At 45.7% G+C, this 17468-nt stretch overlaps 1 protein-coding gene across 2 annotated transcripts in view, besides 1 other annotated feature; it reads right to left on the bottom strand.

Moving 5' to 3' along the window:
• MPPED1 (metallophosphoesterase domain containing 1) overlaps positions 1-17468 on the bottom strand; it is a 95835-nt gene that overhangs the window by 39181 nt on the left and 39186 nt on the right. The window lies entirely within an intron of this gene.
• Positions 3190-3691: an enhancer, noted in NCBI's record as "H3K4me1 hESC enhancer chr22:43860857-43861358 (GRCh37/hg19 assembly coordinates)". NCBI's record gives its function as "activates a minimal SCP1, AML or CMV promoter by ChIP-STARR-seq in naive H9 embryonic stem cells {active_cell/tissue: H9 hESC(naive)}" and the evidence as "EXISTENCE:reporter gene assay evidence [ECO:0000049][PMID:30033119]".

Genomic DNA, 17468 nt, shown 5'->3' with positions numbered 1-17468 from the left:
CAAGAGGCCTGTAGCTCTCCTAATCCATGCTGCTGATTGGACAGGAGAAAACTGGAGCTCAGAAAGGGGAAGAGACTTGTCCAAGGTTACATAGCGAGACAGTGGAGAGAGCTAGGACTTGAACCCTGGCCTCCTGCCTCAGAGATGTCTGAACAATGACCAGCCTCTGGTAGGACATGCCTGATGAGTAGACAGTTTAGGGGACTGGAAGGATATGAGGACATCTGGGAAGAGTGGAGCAGGGACTTGTGGCACCGGTCAAACCCTGAAACTGGAGACAGGCCAGTTGGACTCTGCTAGGTGGGCGAGAACGCTGATCTCCCAGCCTCTGCCACAAGCCCTAGGTCCTTGATGCCAAAACTAGTGCTTTTCAGAGCTGGGGAGCAATGCTACACATTTGTATTCTCCATGAAAACATTCAGACCATCTTCCCCAAATGCCTCCTTTTTTCCCAGCCAGATCATTCAACATCCTGGCATTTGCTAGCCGTGGATTTCTTGTTGCAAAGACATTTAAGTATTAACCAGAAGAGCACTAGAGGATGGCCCTGTTGTTTTCACTTTCCATTTGCCACATACGTGTATTCAAATAGCTGTGTATCCGCACACAGATTCCACATTGCAACAAGTGCAGCTGCCGCACGGGGCAGAGGGGGATGTGCATGGAAGTCTCTGCTTTTTGTGCTTCCGAGATTAATCTCCCTCCAAAAGGTACAATTCTTTATCGCTAACACTTACCCATCCCATTTAACAGAAAGTGCTGCCTCCAAACTGCATAATCTGTTAAATTCAACAAGATATGTGCAAGCTTCTCCACCATCGATGCCATTCCCGGAGCAAAGTATTGAGCCCGGTGGAGTTTTAGCGTTCTCTAAATGCAGTGACAATCAGGAAAATGCCCACTTATGGCTTCTTCCGCCCATTCCCATCTCGCAGAACACAGCAGAGGGGGATGGAATAAAGAGACGGCATAACGATCTCTGATTGCATTTTTAGTACATCTTTGACAGTTCTGTGTTTAAACACTTGCCGATGTCTAGGAGATTCACATTAGCAGACTTCTCGGTATGGCGCATGGTCTAGAAACACACCAGGATGGAGCAAGCTGCGAGAGTCAGCTGTGAGCCACCGTGGGGTCTTGGTGCAACTCGGTGCATGAACGCCAGGAATGGCTTCACACGGCCAAGCACACACAGAAGACTGTGGCTGACCATGCAGAGAAAGGGAATTCTGTGTGTAACCTGAACAGGCGGGAGAGTTCTGGAGTCAGATGTCTGGGCCAACAGCCAAGGCTGAGTTCAGGGGAACACAGTGCAGGGCTGCGCCTGCAGAAGCTGAATTCTGCTACCCTGTACTGAGCGCCCTGTCCAGGCACTGCGACCAGCATCATGCATTCAATGCTTCCAGACACCCTTAGCAGGCACGGGCCATTCTCCCCATGACAGAGATGAAAGGCAGTGCAGCAAGGGGTGCAGGGGGCGTAGCCTGACTTCCATCTCTACCTCCCACTGGCTCTCTGGCCAGAATGAGAACCCTCACTTCCCTGAGCTTTAGTGTCCCCATTTATAAAACACGCATGCTTCCCCACAGAGTTCTTGCAATGATCAAGCTGATGAAGACACGTGAGCCCCACGCTGTACCTATACTTCTGCACGGATTTGTTTTTAAGCAAGTTTGATAAGACACATGGACACAGAAATGGCTGTCACAAAGGAGGCTTACACTCACAGTTCTCTAAAAACGCAAGCCACGCTCCACCATGCCTGGCCAGACAGGGAAGCACCAGGGACAATCAGGAGGTGGAGGGTGAGGGGGAAACATGGGCAGGAGCCTGTTTCATGGTTTCCAAAGGAAGGGTTGGGCAAGGCAAGGGAAAGAGACTTAGGACTGTCTAGTTCGAATAATTCTGGCAGGTTCTAGGACATGAGGGCTGTCCCTAACTGTCTGGCACTGCCCCTGGGGTGATCAGGGCAGGTGGATAGTGGCCCTGTCCACTCTACTGTGGGCTGTGGAGTGGTTGGCTTGTGTAGTTATTTGCTGTATCTAGGAACTGGTTAACCCAGGGAGAGACAATCCCCCTGGCTCAGCAAGGCCCTCAGATGTCAAAGCATCAGAATACAGAAAATAAAAGGCAAGGTTAATACAACCTGGATGTTAGCCATTTTCATTGCATTTCGGGGCTATTCAGGAAGATTAACGCTGCAATGTATAGCACAGCCCAGAAATGTGAGCTGCGAAGCTGGAGATGAGAACTGAGGCTCTACAAGTTCAGGTCACCTACCTGGGCACACAGCAGCTCACTGGGACCCAGGTCTGGCTTCCCAGAGCTCGGTGCCACAACACCCCAGATAGAACAGACATCCTAGGATGGCAGACCCCCCAATGAGCTGCAGACCCCCTGGCCTCATCCAGCCTCCACGGGTCCTCATGGGAGGCTGCTGGATTCAAAACTCAGCTCTGGTGCCTGGATTTAAAAGGCAAATGTGATTTTTCTTCTGTTCCATCCTAATAGCCAAAATGTTTAACTTTCAAACATTTGTTTTTCCTGGGAAATGTTTTAAAAACAGGAACATTCAGTCCTAATCATCTTCAACTGCTTGTTTCCACTGCTACTGCAGAGCACATATGACTTCAGGCCGAAAGTTTTCTGTGTTTTCCCCCAAAAATCAAGGCTGCCTGTAGCTAGCAGGACTTTGTGGGAACCTCCTCAGAAGTCGCAGTCCGGAAGGACACACGTGCCCAGAGATGTGCACAAAAGGGCCCTGGTGGCCCCCGGCTTCCCCAGGGGCTACTGCACTCCCTGCAGTGCTCTGATCTCAGCCCTCCTCGTCCAACCTTGCACCCCTGTGGGTGCTTACGGTCTCCTGGCATCCGCATCTGCTGTTCCACACACCAGGATCCTCTTCCCGCCCTTCCTTCTGAGTCAACTCCAATTCAACTCGCACTTTATCAGCCAACCCCAGGGCCACTTCCTCCAAGACACCTTCCAAGAGCCGCTCTCTTCACTCAACCCTAGCAGGATGATGGGTGCCCCCCAACAAGCACCCAGGGACGTGCTTCTCACAGCCCTGACAACCAAACCAACCGCGGGTTGATTTGTCTGCTTCCCCAGCACCCTGGGAGCCCCTTCGAGGCCCCTGCCTTGTTCAGCGCTCTACCGCCAGCACGGGGCTCGGTGATAAGTACACACTCAACACACAGCCACTGAATCCATGAGGTTCCGTCGTCCCTTACAACCCATGGCAAGGGCCGGGGAGGTCACATGATTCAACCAAGGTCTCCTAAGTGATCGGCTACAGGATGTCCCCAGAGGCCAAATAGCTGGCCCACGGATGGTAACCAACACTGTTAGGATGAGATGAGCCCATCAGGTGGCAGCCTCCCAACTGTCATGGTCTCCGTTCACTCGGCAGACATCAAGAGTCCATGACTTCAAGGCCCATGCCACGGAGCTGCCCCACGAGGCTGTGGGAGAGCCCTGGCCTGAGAGTCGGCTCAGCTCTCTACTATCTCACCATGCGACCTGGGATAGTGAGGCCTTTCCCCTCCTCGTGCCTCAGTTTCCCCATCTGTTCCATGAAGACGTGACATAAAGGTCCTGACCTCTGAGAGCTCTTTCAATTCTCTGAGACCCTCCAGGCAGGTGTGTATGTGGTACCGGGGTGGGGTGCCCACGGAGGGTGTTAACAGGGTCAGATGGTGGGAACCAAGGGGCCCTTGTATAGGACGGGATTCTGAAGGCCCATGTTTGTCCCCAGTTGTGGCTGACATCCCATGAAATCAGCAATAAAGGAAGGAAAAGGCATGGCCTGCCAAGGACAGAGGTTTGGAAGCTGGAAAGAGATGGATGGGTAGACTGGCTTAGCTGAGCAAAGAAAACTAAAACCAAAGTCCTGGGAGTGGGTAAGAGAAATGTGGAGCTACAAGAAGCAAGGTGAGCTGTGGCCAGAGTCCCAGGGGGTCTCAAGGACTAGAAGCCCAAGAGCTGCAGTCTGACTTAGAACCTGTATGAGAAGCAGGTGGGACCCGGGCCCCTCCCACCTTGCACCCATCCAGCAGCCATGCCCTTTGCCTCTCATCCCCACAAAAGTGGGGAGCACTACCAGGGTCACACAAAAACTCCAGAGAGCCCCATTTAGGGAACATCGAGGCAAGGGGATGAACCCTGGGGTCCCAGCCTCCAGACCCACTTAGCTATCAAATCTGGAAGCCAGACTTGGAAAGCAAAAACTGGGGAGAAAAACAGGTGCAGGAGGAAAAACCCATAGGTATCAATATAGGGCTTGCCCAAAGACATGGCCAGGGCCCCATGATCACATCCCCCTATGCCCACCACACACACACACACACACACACACACACACACACACACACACAGAGCTGACCAACAGCTTTCAGATGTTCAATTCATATACACAAATGCAGTGTCATCAAGCCTCTGAGAAAAACCCCACAGTGAAGGCCAGGTGCGGTGGCTCACACCTGTAATCCCAGCACTTTGGGAGGCTGAGGCAGGCTGATCACCTGAGGTCAGGAGTTCAAGACCAGCCTGGTCAACATGGTGAAACCCTGTCTCTACTAAAAATACAAAAATTAGCTGGGAGTGGTGGCGGGCGCCTATAAACCCAGCTACTCAGGAGACTGAGGCAGGAGAATCACTTGAACCTGGGAGGCGGAGGTTGCAGTCAGTCGAGATCACGTCACTACACCCCAGCCTGGGCAACAGAGCAAGACTCTGTCTCAAAGAAAAGAAGAAAGAAAAGAAAAGAAAGAAAGACAGACAGACAGAAAGAGAAAGAAAGAAAGAAAGAAAGAAAGAAAGAAAGAAAGAAAGAAAGAAAGAAAGAAAGAAAGAAAGAAAAGAAAAAATGAAAAATCAACCACAGTGAAAAAAGAGTCAGAGGCCAAATCAAACAAGGAAAAGAAATTAGAGGAAAGAAGGCTGAGGCAGGAAAATGCTTTTTTAAACTATATCATTGACATCCTTGGTGAGATAATAAAATATTGCACCCATGAAATTTTAGCAGGGTGCTTTTACAAAAGAAATAAAAACATAGCAGGATATTTTTTAATTTGACCAAAAGAGGGAAGACGAAGTCAAGGAAATCTCCCAGACACTAAAATAAAAAAGACAATGAAGTAAATAACAGGTGAGAAAAGATTTAAAAATCAGGCTGGCCACAGTGGCTCCCATCTGTAATCCCACCACTTTGGGAGGCTGAGGTGGGAGGACAGCTTAAGCCCAGGAATTCAAAGATGTGGTGAGCTGTGACTGCACCACTGCACTCTGGCCTGGGTGACAGAGCAAGATCCTGTCTCAAAAAAAAAAAAAAAAAAGAAAAAATCATAAGCCCAACATCTGAGTACTACAAGTTGCAGGAAGAGAAATCAGAAAAAGAGATGGAAGAAAAAACTGGAGATGAGAAAAGTTCCTGAATTAAAGGACAAAATTTTTCCATTAACAGAGTGCTTGGAAAAAATAAATGAAGTAAAGACCCACATTAAGCACATTCTCCAGAAACCCAACAGGTTATATATAAAGGATGAGAAATCCCAACAGCAGTGGAATTTTCAACAGTGACACTGAAAAAAAAAGGAAAAATGCCTTCCAAACTCTAGGGGAAAATGATCTGCAACTCAGAATTCTATACCTAGATAAACTATTAGTTAAGACAGGACAGAATAAAGATCTTTTCTAACATGCAAGTCTGCCAGATATTTCTCTTGTGCACTTTCTCAGAAAGCTACTGGAGGGTGTGCTCCACCAAAATGAGGGAGTAAACCAAGAAAAAGGAAACCATTGGATCCCAGAACCAGGGGTTACAAGACAGAAGAAAGGTGAAAGGAGATGATGGCCATCTGAAGATGGTGACTGTGAGCAGGACTGGAAATCAATCAGTCCCAATGGGAGCAGGCCTTGGAGGCTCCAGGAGGTAAGCCTCCAAGAAAAACTAGAAGACAGATGACCTAGCACATCTCACCACACTACAGAGGGGTGTTTAAAGCTCTGCAGAAGACTTGAGGATGAACTATGATGGACACATGAAAATATAAGCAAACAAACAAAATAATTAACTACTTTTAAAAAATAATGTCACATAATGAATATTCAACCAAAAATTGGGATAGAAATACTAACAGGTGAAAAGATGCATATGTGAGTGGGGAAGCTAAATCTCTAAATCTTCATTTCCCATTATAAGAAATCTAAAAGTAATGTCTAAATTGAAAAATCAAAACATAGCAATCCCAGGTTGTTCCTTCGAGAAACAAGAGAAGCAGCACTAGAGCTGCACTGGGAGTGGGAACCAGGCCTCGGGAGGAGGCTGCTATCTTGAGCATAAGCCCTGTAGCACTCTGTGACTTACAGTGCACATTCATTGCCTGAATGCAAATAAAATGTTGATTAAATAAAAAGAAGCATCTTCAAAGTCAAGTGCTTCTCTTCCACTTCCCAACTCTGTCCAGGGCCACCCTGACCTTTCACTTGTTCTGCCTGTTGCTCAAAACCTACAACAAAAGCAAACTGGGCCACAATTAAGGTTGATGGAAAGACAGAGCAGGTAGAAAATCAAAGCTGGCTGATTCCTCCGAGATTCTGAGGGTCCGAGTGCTGGGATGACTCTGGCACCAGGTTCAAAGGCAGGTGATCCAGCTGAGCAGCTCCTCACCTGGGCAGATCAGGCAGCTACTAATGACATCACTGTTGCCACCTGATGGGAACTTCAGCCACCTCCCCGGTGCCCTATTTCTCATCCTCACAATAGTCCCACAAAACAGGCAATATTATTAATATTTGGCAGATGAAGAAATCGAGGCTAATAAAGTTAATGAACTCCACAACTGATCAGCGAAGAAGCGGGAATTTGAACCTGGGTGCATCTGAAGCTGAAACCCATGATTTTCCCCTCAGTCACAACCACTTAGACATATATTCTCAGGTTTTTTCATTAAATATTTCTCAAAAAAAAGTAAAAAGAGTGCTGTCATACATTTGAGTCTTTACAATATCTCTCTTGCTATGAGCAGCTCTCAATGACTTTATTTTAAGCAACATAACACTCTGGGCAAGACTTTGTGGCTGCTATAAACAAAGAAACAATACAGAGAAGCACTTTGAGGATGAGGATTAAGGATCTTTGAGCACACGGTCCTCCACAAAGTCAACAACAACACTGGCAAAAGTTGTCAAAATCTACCTTTTTAAAATTCTGGAAATCAACCAACAATCCGAGGAGCATAGATGCAAGAAAAATAGCTGAGTTGTGCAGCATTCTAACTTGCCCTCTTCTCAGCCTCCTCTTTGCAAGCCTGTAGTAGCCTGAAAATCAGCAGTCTCAGAACTATTGCAGCTGTGAAAACTACCAGCCTAGCAGTCACAGGAGGGGGAAAAACAGCTTTGAGACTCCCAAGAAAGCCCCTTTCACTATTTGGCATATAAAGCCTCATTTGTAGAACTTGTCTTTTTTTAGAGATGAGGTTTCGCTATATTGCCCAGGCTGGTCTCAAACTCCTGGCCTCAAGTGATCCTCCCATCTCAGCCTCCCAAAGTGCTAGGATTATAGGTGTGTGCCACTGCACCCAGCCAGGACTTGTCTTTGTTTGACCTGACTCAGAGCTTGCTCAATGAGGAAAGCCCTAGCCCCAAAGTATTTGTTAAAAACAATCAGCAGCAGTTGTCTAACATCACAGCTTCCCAAGGAGGCCATACCAGTTAGGGCAAACAAGAGGCCAACCAAGAAACTTAAAATGAAAATCTGGAGAATGAGGCATCCACAGGACATCTAGAGGATCATGCTTATGTGCAGGGCTGTGCGTGTGCCTAGGAAAGGGGCCCTCATCACTCACCTCAGAATGACCTTGAAGCACATGCAAGAAGTGAAGGCTTTTGTAAAGTGCTAGGGTGTTGAGGATGTGCCTCAACACAATGGTAGGGAGCCCCTCAGCAAATGATGGGAGACTTATCAGTTCAAGGCATGTAAGGAAATCTCTGACCAGTCATCAGCTCACAACTAAGCTAACCAAGCAGAGACTTTAGTAGCCACACATGACAGAGAATACAAACACCACAGAGTTTCCAGGACATTCACTAAATAAACAACAACAAACCTTGGTGCAGGGGGTGGGATCTGATTCCCATAATCAGCAAATTATGTTATTTAAAACATCCACAGCCTAAGTGTGTTGGTGCTCGCCTGTGGTCTTAGCTACTCAGGAGGCCGAGGCAGGAGAATCACTTGAACCCAGGAGACGGATATTGCAGTGAGCCACGATTGTGCCACTGCACTCCAACCTGGAAGCAGTGAGACAGAGTGAGACCCTGTCTCAAAAAACAACAACAAACAAACAAATAAACAAAATCCAGTTTTTTTTGTTTTGTTTTGCTTTGGGTTTGGGGGGGGGGGTTTGGGTTTGTTTTTGTTTTTGTTTTTGTTTTTGTTTTTGTTTTTGTTTTTGTTTTTTGAGATGGAGTCTCACTCTGTCGCCAGGCTGGAGTGCAATGGCGCAATCTTGGCTCACTGCAACCTCCGCCTCCCAGGTTCAAGCAAATCTTCTGCCTCAGCCTCCTGAGTAGCTGGGACTACAGGCACATGCCACCACACCCGGCTAATTTTTGTATTTTTAGTAGAGACGGGGTTTCACCATGTTGGCCAGGATGGTCTCGATCTCTTGACCTCGTGATCCACTCGCCTTGGCCTCCCAAAGTGCTGGGATTACAGGCGTAAGCCACCACGCCTGGCCACAAAAACATCTAGTATTTTTTTAAATGAAACACACAAAGAAACAGGAATGTATGCTCCTTAGACAAGGGAAAGAGCAGTCAATAGAAATCGTCCTTGCGGAAACCCAGATGGTGGATATAACTAAATAATGCCTTTAAATCAGCTATTAGAAATATGTTCAAAGAACTAGAGAACTGTCTAAAGAATTCAAGAACATTATGAGAATGATGTGTTCACAAATAAAGCACATCAATAAGGAGATATAACTATAAAAAAGAATCCAATTCTGGAGTTGAAAAGTAAAATACCTAAAACAACATTTTCATTAGAGGGTCTCAACAGTAGTTTCAAGCTGGCAGAAGAAAGAATGAGCAAACCTGAAGACAGATCTGTTGAAATCATCCAGTTTGAGGAACAGAAAGGAAAAAGAATGAAGAAAAATGAACAGAGCCTCAGAGACCTGTGGGACACCATTGGGTGCACTCATGTGTGCGTAAGAGGAGCCATAAAGGAAAAGTGAGAGGGGACAGAAAGAGTAGTTAAAGAAACAATAGCTGTATTCTCAAACAATAGCTCACGCCTGTAATCCCAGCATTTTGGGAGGCTGAGGTGAGTGGATTACTTGAAGCCAGGAGTTCAAGACCAGCCTGGCAATACCCCATCATGGCAAAACCCCGTCTCTACTGAAAATACAAAAATTAGCTGGCATCGTGGTGTGCACGGTGCACCTATAGTCCCAGCTACTTGGGAGGCTGAGACACAAGAATTGCTTTAACCTGGGAGGCAGAGGTTGCAATAAGCCAAGACTGAGCCACTGCAATCCAGCCTGGGTGACAGAGTGAGACTCTATCAAAAAAACAAAATAAAAAAAGAAAAAAGAAAAGGAAACAATAGCAAAACCTCCCCAAATTTGATGAAAAACATTAATCTACACATCCAAGAACTTCAAGTAACTCCAAACATGATAAACTCAAAGAGGTCCACACCTAAACACATCATAATCAAACTGTCAGAAAGCAGACAATCACTCATCACACACAAATAATCCTCAGTAGCAGCTGGCTTCTCATCAGGAACCACAATAACCAGAAGGCAGTGGGATATACAAACGCTAGGAAGAAGGACTGTCGACCAGCAATTCTACATCCCGCAAAACTATCCTTTAAAAATAGAGAAATTAAGTCATTCCCAGATAAACAGAAACAAACTGAATCTGTCACTAGCAGACACTCTCTACAAAAAATACTGAATAGACTTTTTCAGACTGAAATGAAAGGGCACCAGACAGCAACTGAAATCCATATGAAGAAATAGAGAGCACTGGTAAAGGTAGCTACACAGGTAAATATAAAAGACAGTACAGGCCAGGCGCGGTGGTTCATGCCTGTAATCCCAGCACTTTGGGAGTCTGAGGCGGGCGGATCACGAGGTCAGGAGATAGAGACCAGACTGGCCAACATGGTGAAACCCCGTCTCTACTAAAAATATAAAAATTAGCCGGGTGTGGTGGCACGTGCCTGTAATCCCAGCTACTTGGGAGGCTGAGGCAGGAGAATCACTTGAACCAGGGGGTCAGAGGTTGCAGTGAGCCGAGATCACAACACTGCACTCCAGCCTGGTGACAGAGTGAGACTCTGTCTCAAAAAAAAAAAAAAGACAGTACAATTGTATTTCTGTTTGTAACTCCTTTGTTCTCCTATCCAGTTTAAAAGACAACTACACTAAGGAATACAGTCATGGACTGTTAATGACAGAGATGCATTCCGAGAAATGCACCATTAGGTGATTTTGATATTGTACAAACAGCAGAGTGTACTTACGCAAACCTAGATCATACAGCCTACTACATACCAAAGCTATACAGTACAGCCTATCACTACAGGCTACAAACCTGTACAGCATGTTATCGTACTGAATACTCCAGGCAATCGTAACACAATGGTAAGTATTTGTATATCTAAACATAGAAAAGTAAGTAAAATTACAGTGTTATAATCTTATGGGACCACTGTAGTATATGCAGTCTGTCATTGACAGAAACATCATTACACAGCACATGACTGTAGTTATAAAACTGTGTTAATGAGCTTATAATGCACAAAAATGTAATTTGTATGACAATAATAGCATAAAGGAGGGGGAGGGCATAGAACTCTACATTAGAGCACAGTTTTTGTATATTTATGAAATTAGGTTGCTATTAATCAAAACTAGATTGTTATAAGGTAAAAAAAATTTAATTATAATGCCCAGGGCAACAACTAATACAATTTTTCAATATAGTAAAAGAAATGAAATTAAAATAGTGAACTAGAAAATATCTATTTAACACAAAAGAAGGCAGTAATAGAAGAAAAGATGGACAAAAAATATATAAGATATATAGAGAACAAAAAGCAAAATGGCAGATATAAATCCTACTTTGTCAGTAGTTATATTAAACATAACATGCTTAAACAGTACAGTCAAAAGAAGGCAGAGATTAAAATTTTTAATTTTTTAAAAATCCAATTATATGCTGTTTATAAAAGACACACTTTAGATCCAAAGAAACAAGTGGGTTGAAAGTAAAAGAATGAAAAAGATATACAAACAGTATCCAGACGCCAAAAGAGAGCTGTAGTCGCTATACCAGCATCAGAAAAAAATAGATTTGAAGACAAAAATTGTTACTAGAGAAAAGGAAGAATATTTTATAATGATAAAAAGCCCAGCAACAGATGGCTTCACTGGCGATTTGTATCAAACATTTCAAGAATTAACACCAGTCCTTGACAAACTCTTCCAAAAAGCAAAAGAGGAGAAAACACTTTCCAGCTCAGTCTAGGAGGCTTTGATACCAAAACCAGACAAAGCTATCACAAGAAAAGAAAACCACAGACCAATATTCCTTCTGAATATAGGCTCAAAATCCTCAAAAAAATACTAGCAAGTCAAATCAAGCAACAAAGGATTAGACACCATATAAAAAGGTATTATACACCATCACCAAATGGGATTGAACTCAGGAATGTAAGGTTGGTTCAACATACAATTAATGTAATATACCGTAATAATAAGGGGGAAACCATATGATCATCTCAACAGGCACAGAAAAGCATTTGACAAAATAAAACACCCTTTCATGATTTAAAAACACATACACACACACACCGGGTGCGGTGGCTCACGCCTGTAATCCCAGCACTTTGGGAGGCTGAGGTGGATGGATCATTTGAGGCCAGGAGTTCAAGACCAGTCTGGCCAACATGGCGAAAACTCTGTCTCTACTAAAAAAACAAAAATCAGCCAGGCATGGTGCTGCACATCTGTAATCTCAGCTACTTGGGAGGCTGAGTCACAGGAATCGCTTGAACCTGGGAGGCAGAGGTTGCAGTTAGCCAAAATTGCACCACTGCACCCCAGTCTGGGTGACAGAGCAAGACACTGTCTCTAAACAAAACAAAAAACACGTAACAAACTGGGAATAGAAGAGATCTTCTGAACCTGACAAAGAGCATCTCTAAAGGTCCCTCAGCGAGCTGGGCATGGTGGTGCACACCTGCAGTCCCAGCTATTTGGGAGGCTGAGGCAGGAGAATCACCTAAGCCCAGGCACTCAAGTCCAGCCTAGGCAATATAATGAGACCCTGTCTCTAAATAAACAAATAAATACATACATATTACAAATCCCACAGCTAACATCATACTTAATAGTGAAGGACTAAAAGTCTTCCTCCTAAGATTGGTCACAAAACAAGGACATTCACTCTTGCCATTTCTATTCAACATTATGCTTGAGGTTCTAGCTGGGGCAATGAAGCATGAAAAAGAAATAAAAGCATCCAGAACGGAAGGGAAGAAATAAAACTGTCTCTATTCACAGAGAAACATGATCTTGTGGCCACAAATCAAGGAAGCCAAAGGTTGCCAACAGCCACCACAAGCTACAAGAGGCAAGGAAGGATTCCCTGTTTCCTCTCCCTCACCAGAGCCTCCAGAAGGAACACAGCCCTGCCGACACCTGAATGTCAGATTTCTGACCCCCAGAGCAGTGAAAGGATACATTTCTGTTATCTTAAACCAAGAAGCTTGTGATAACTTGTTACTGCAGCCTCAGGAAATTAACACAATAATCAAAGTGCTTGAAACCAAAGACAAGAAACTTTCAAGCAATTGGGGTGGAGGAAAGGGCACATTATCTTCAAAGAATCAACAGTAATGCTGATAGCTGATCATTCAACATGGAGAAATTACACTGAGTAGTTATGTTGCTGAGATTATGAATGGGTTTCCATAGCTTCCTGCAACAGATTCAAAAATGCTCTGAAAAGTATGTCGGAAACAGAAAATAGCTCTAGTGATGGCAGTTTCACCTGTTATAGGCTAAAAATTGTCTCCCCCTCCACAAAAGGAACATGTTGAAGTCTTAATCCCTAGTACCTCAGAATGGGATGGCATTTAGAGACAGGACCCTTAGTGAGGTAATTCAGGTAAAATTAGGTCATATGAGAGGGCTCTAATCCAATGACTGGTGTCCCTGTAACAAGATGACATTGACCTGGCGCAGTGGCTCACGCCTGTAATCCCAGCACTTTGGGAGGCCGAGATGGATGGATCACCTGAGGTCAGGAGTTTGAGACCAGCCTGGCCAACATGGTGAAACCCCATCTCTACTAAAAATACAAATATTAGCTGGGCACGGTAGTGGGCACCTGTAATCCCAGCTACTCTGGAGGCTGAGGAGGAAGAATCGCTTGAATCCCAGGGACAGAGGTTGCTGTGGGCCGAGATCACGCCACTGCACTCCAGTCTGGGTGACAGAGTAAGACTTCGTCTCAAAAAAAAAAAAGGACATGAAGGCAGAGAGGCAGAGAAGCTCATATGAGGACACAGTGAGAAGACAGCCATCTGCAAGCCAAGGAGAGAGGCCTCAAAAGAAACCAATCTGCTAATATCTCAACCTCAGATTCTGGCCTCCAGAACTGGGAGACAATAGGCTTCTGCTGTTTGAGCCTCCCAGTCTCTGGTACATGGTCAGGGAAGCCCTATCAAACCAACACAGTATCAATGCAGAAGATGCACTTGAAGAATCTGAATACAAATGTTTCATAAGATGTGAGAGAACAGAAATATATGTCTCAATCCCAGCACTCTGGGAGGCTGAAGCAAGCATATCACCTGAGGTCATGAGTTCGAGACCAGCCTGAGCAACGTGTCAAAACCCCATCTCTACTAAAAATACAAAAATTAGCTAGGTGTGGTGGTGTGCACCAGTAGTCCCAGCTATTCAGGAGGCTGAGGTGGGAGGATCACCTGAGCCTGGAAAGTTAAGGCTGCAGTGAACCATGATAGAGCCCTATAACTTAATAGTACCGGTGTTCCTTTAAGATGAAGAATTTTGGGAGGCCAAAGCAGGAGGATCCCTTGAAGCCAGGAGTTCAAGACCAGCCTGGGAAACATAGTGAGACCTTGTCTCTACAAAAATTCAAAAAATAAGCTGGGCATGGTGGCACATGCCTATAGTCCCAGCTACTCAGGAGGCTGAGGTGGGAGGATTGCTTGAGCTCAGGAGATCAAGGCTGCAGTGAACCAAGAACACCACTGCACTCCAGCCTTGGCAACAGAGTGAGATCCTGTCTCTAAAAAGAAGAAAATAGGCTGGGTACAGTGGCTCATACCTGTAATCCCAGTACTTTGGGAGGCCAAGGAGGGCGGATCACCTGAGGTCAGGAGTTCGAGACCAGCCTGGCCAACGCAGTGAAACCCCCTCTCTACTAAAAATACAAAAATTAGCCAGGCGTGGTGGTGGGTGCCGGTAATCCCAGCTACTTGGGAGGCTGAGGCAGGAGAATCGCTTGAACCAGGGAGGCAGAGGCTGCAGTGAGCCTAGATCGCACCACTGCACTCCAGCCTGGGCGACAGAGCGAAACTCTGTCTCAATAAAGAAATAAATAAATAAATATTTAAATTTTAAAAAAGAAAGTAGAATGGTGGATGCCAGGGGCTGGGGAGAGGAGGGAGGAAGAAGTTGTTTAATGGATCATTTCCATTTGGGAAGACAAAAAAGTTCCAGAGAGGAAAGGCAGTGATGTTTGTACAACAATGTGAATGGTCTTAATGCCACTGAACTATACACTTTTAAAAGACTAAAATGATCAATGTCATGTATATTTCACCACAATTTAAATAAATAATCTGGGGAGCCTGGATCTTAGACAACTAGAAGTGTGAGCAGGCAGAATTGTAGGCTCTTGGAGCTCTGAGAGTTCTAGCAATGCAGTTTTTAAAATCTTAGAATCCTGGAAGCCAATCATTCTCATCTTGGAAATAAACAATTCTAGAACTGTAGAAGTCAACGGGGTTTCGGGATGAAAGAAGAGTAAATGGTCATCTAGAGTCCTGGCCCACCTCATCCCCCACACCCCCATCATCATCAGAAAATCCCACAACGAAGCCGCAGGACTGGAAGGCTATACCTGGTTCCAACTCACCAGGAAATTCCCAGCAAGGATTGTGCTGGGTTTGGCCAAAGACCCTGGATTTTAAAGGCATGGCTTCAGGGCCAGATATCTGGCCCTTGTGTCACTGAGTAAAAGGTGTCTTCTGGCTACAGAAAACCCATTTAAAGGGGCAGGGGGGGTGGTGCGGGGAAACGGCCCATAGCGATGTTCTTTGCAGTAGTAACTGAAATAAGTATTTAAAAATGAGTAAGACTGGCCGGGCACAGTGGCTGATGCCTGTAATCCCAGCACTTTGGGAGGCCGAAGTGGGCAGATCACAAGGTCAGGAGATCGAGACCATCCTGGCTAACACCGTGAAACCCCGTCTCTATTAAAAAATACAACAAATTAGCCGGGCGTGGTAGCGGGTGCCTGTAGTCCCAGCTACTCGGGAGGCTGAGGCAGGAGAATCACTTGAACCCAGGAGGCGGAGCTTGCAGTGAGCCGAGATTGAGCCACTGCACTCCAGCCTAGGTGACAGAGCGAGAATCAAAAAAAAAAAAAGTAAGACTAAAAGTTCCTGTTTTTAAAATATTTCTGGCTAGGTGTGGTAGCTCACACCCTTAATCTTGGCACTTGGGGAGGTCAAAGGAGGACTGCTTGAGCCCAGGAGTTTCAGACCAGCCTGGGAAACATAGGGAAACCTCGTCTCTACAAAAAATAAAAAAAGTAGCCAGGCGTGGTGGCATGTGCCTGTGGTCCCAGCTACTTGGGAAGCTGACGTGGGAAGATTGCTGAAGCCCGGGAAGTCGAGGCTCAGTGAGCCGTGATCATGCCACTGCACTCCAGCCTGGGTGACAAAACAAGACTCTGTCTCAAAAAAGAATAAAATATTTATTCCTAAAGCCAAGGGTTTTAAGGCTAAATAAACATTTTGAATGTTAGGATACACTAAAATGAAATCATCTTCCCCCCTCTGTTTATTCATTTCCCCATTCCCCAGTTCTCTTTCTTGGCCCTAGTAAGTTCTGACTGGCCCCCTACAGTCCCTTCCTCTGTGGCCTAGGGTTGTGGAGGGAGACACACACAGGCAGCTGAGGAGCAGCAGTGGGGAGAGTATTGAGTTTTACAGAACCACAGGCAGCAGTGCTGTTTCCTTTCCCTGGCCAGGAGTATGAGAGGTTCCACAAGATTGATAAAAGGGGGTGATCAGCTGGGCGCATTGGCTCACACCTGTAATCCCAGCACTTTGGGAGGCTGAGGCAGGCAGATCACCTAAAGGAGTTTGAGACCAGCCTGGCCAATATGGTGAAACCCCATCTCTACTAAAAATACAAAAATTAGCCAAGCATGATGGCTCACGCCTGTAATCCCAGCTACCAGGGAGGCTGAGGCAGGAGAATCGCTTGAACCTGGGAGGCAGAGGTTGCAGTGAGCCGAGATCATGCCACTGCACTCCAGCCTGGGCAACAGAGCAAGACTCCATTTCAAAAAAAAAAAAAGAAAGAAAAAAAGAAAAATATAGGGAGGTGATCACAGAAACTACAGAAACAGGTATCCATAGTGGACAGCAGCTCCCTAGGCAGTCAGGATTGGCACTCCGGCAGGAGCAGCCCACACAAGAAAGGCATGGAGGCGGGAAAACCTCCAACAATGTGACAACTGCCCCGAAGCCTCGGACAGACAAAGGGGAGGGGTGGAGCCAGGCCTAGTAGGGACCATGGGGTCCCCGCCAGAGGCCTTGACCACAGGAGCAGTGCCTGGACTCACCCGGGACACAGGAGGGAAACCTCTGCAGAGTTTTAAGGGGGTGCGGCGCATGGTTGGATCAATGAGCAAAAAACTTCTTTCAAACACCAACATGACAAATGTTAGTTTGGAAAGTGACTATTTTGAGAGGTTGGGATGTTACCAAAGAAAGCCTCGCTTTGTCAGCTCGATGCTTCCCCTTCAGTGTCGTGGCTGTCAAACCAGCCCAGAATTAGCTCCAAACGGCCTTCCGCGAGCTCTCGGATCTTCATTTGCATCGTGCACACTCCGAAAGGTGTGAAATCCTTCTTCTTAAGAGAGATCAAAGAAACAAACCTATACACTTTTTAAAATCCGCTTTTCTTTTAAAAACAAATTTCAAAGAACTAAATTCTAACTTTTAAATGCACGATTTTAAAAAGCGGAAGTCCTCTTTGGATGATATTAATAGTAGTAATTAAAGCTACCACCAGCTGGGCGCAGCGGCTCACACCGGTAATTGCAGCATTTTGAGAGGCCGAGGCGGGTGGATCACGAGGTCAAGAGATTGAGACCATCCTGGCCAACATCGTGAAA

Source organism: Homo sapiens, chromosome 22, assembly GCF_000001405.40.
Source record: "Homo sapiens chromosome 22, GRCh38.p14 Primary Assembly".
NCBI classification, from domain to species: Eukaryota; Metazoa; Chordata; class Mammalia; order Primates; family Hominidae; genus Homo; species Homo sapiens.
Note: the sequence above shows the minus strand (reverse complement) of the source record. Positions and strands in the feature narration are given on the sequence as shown.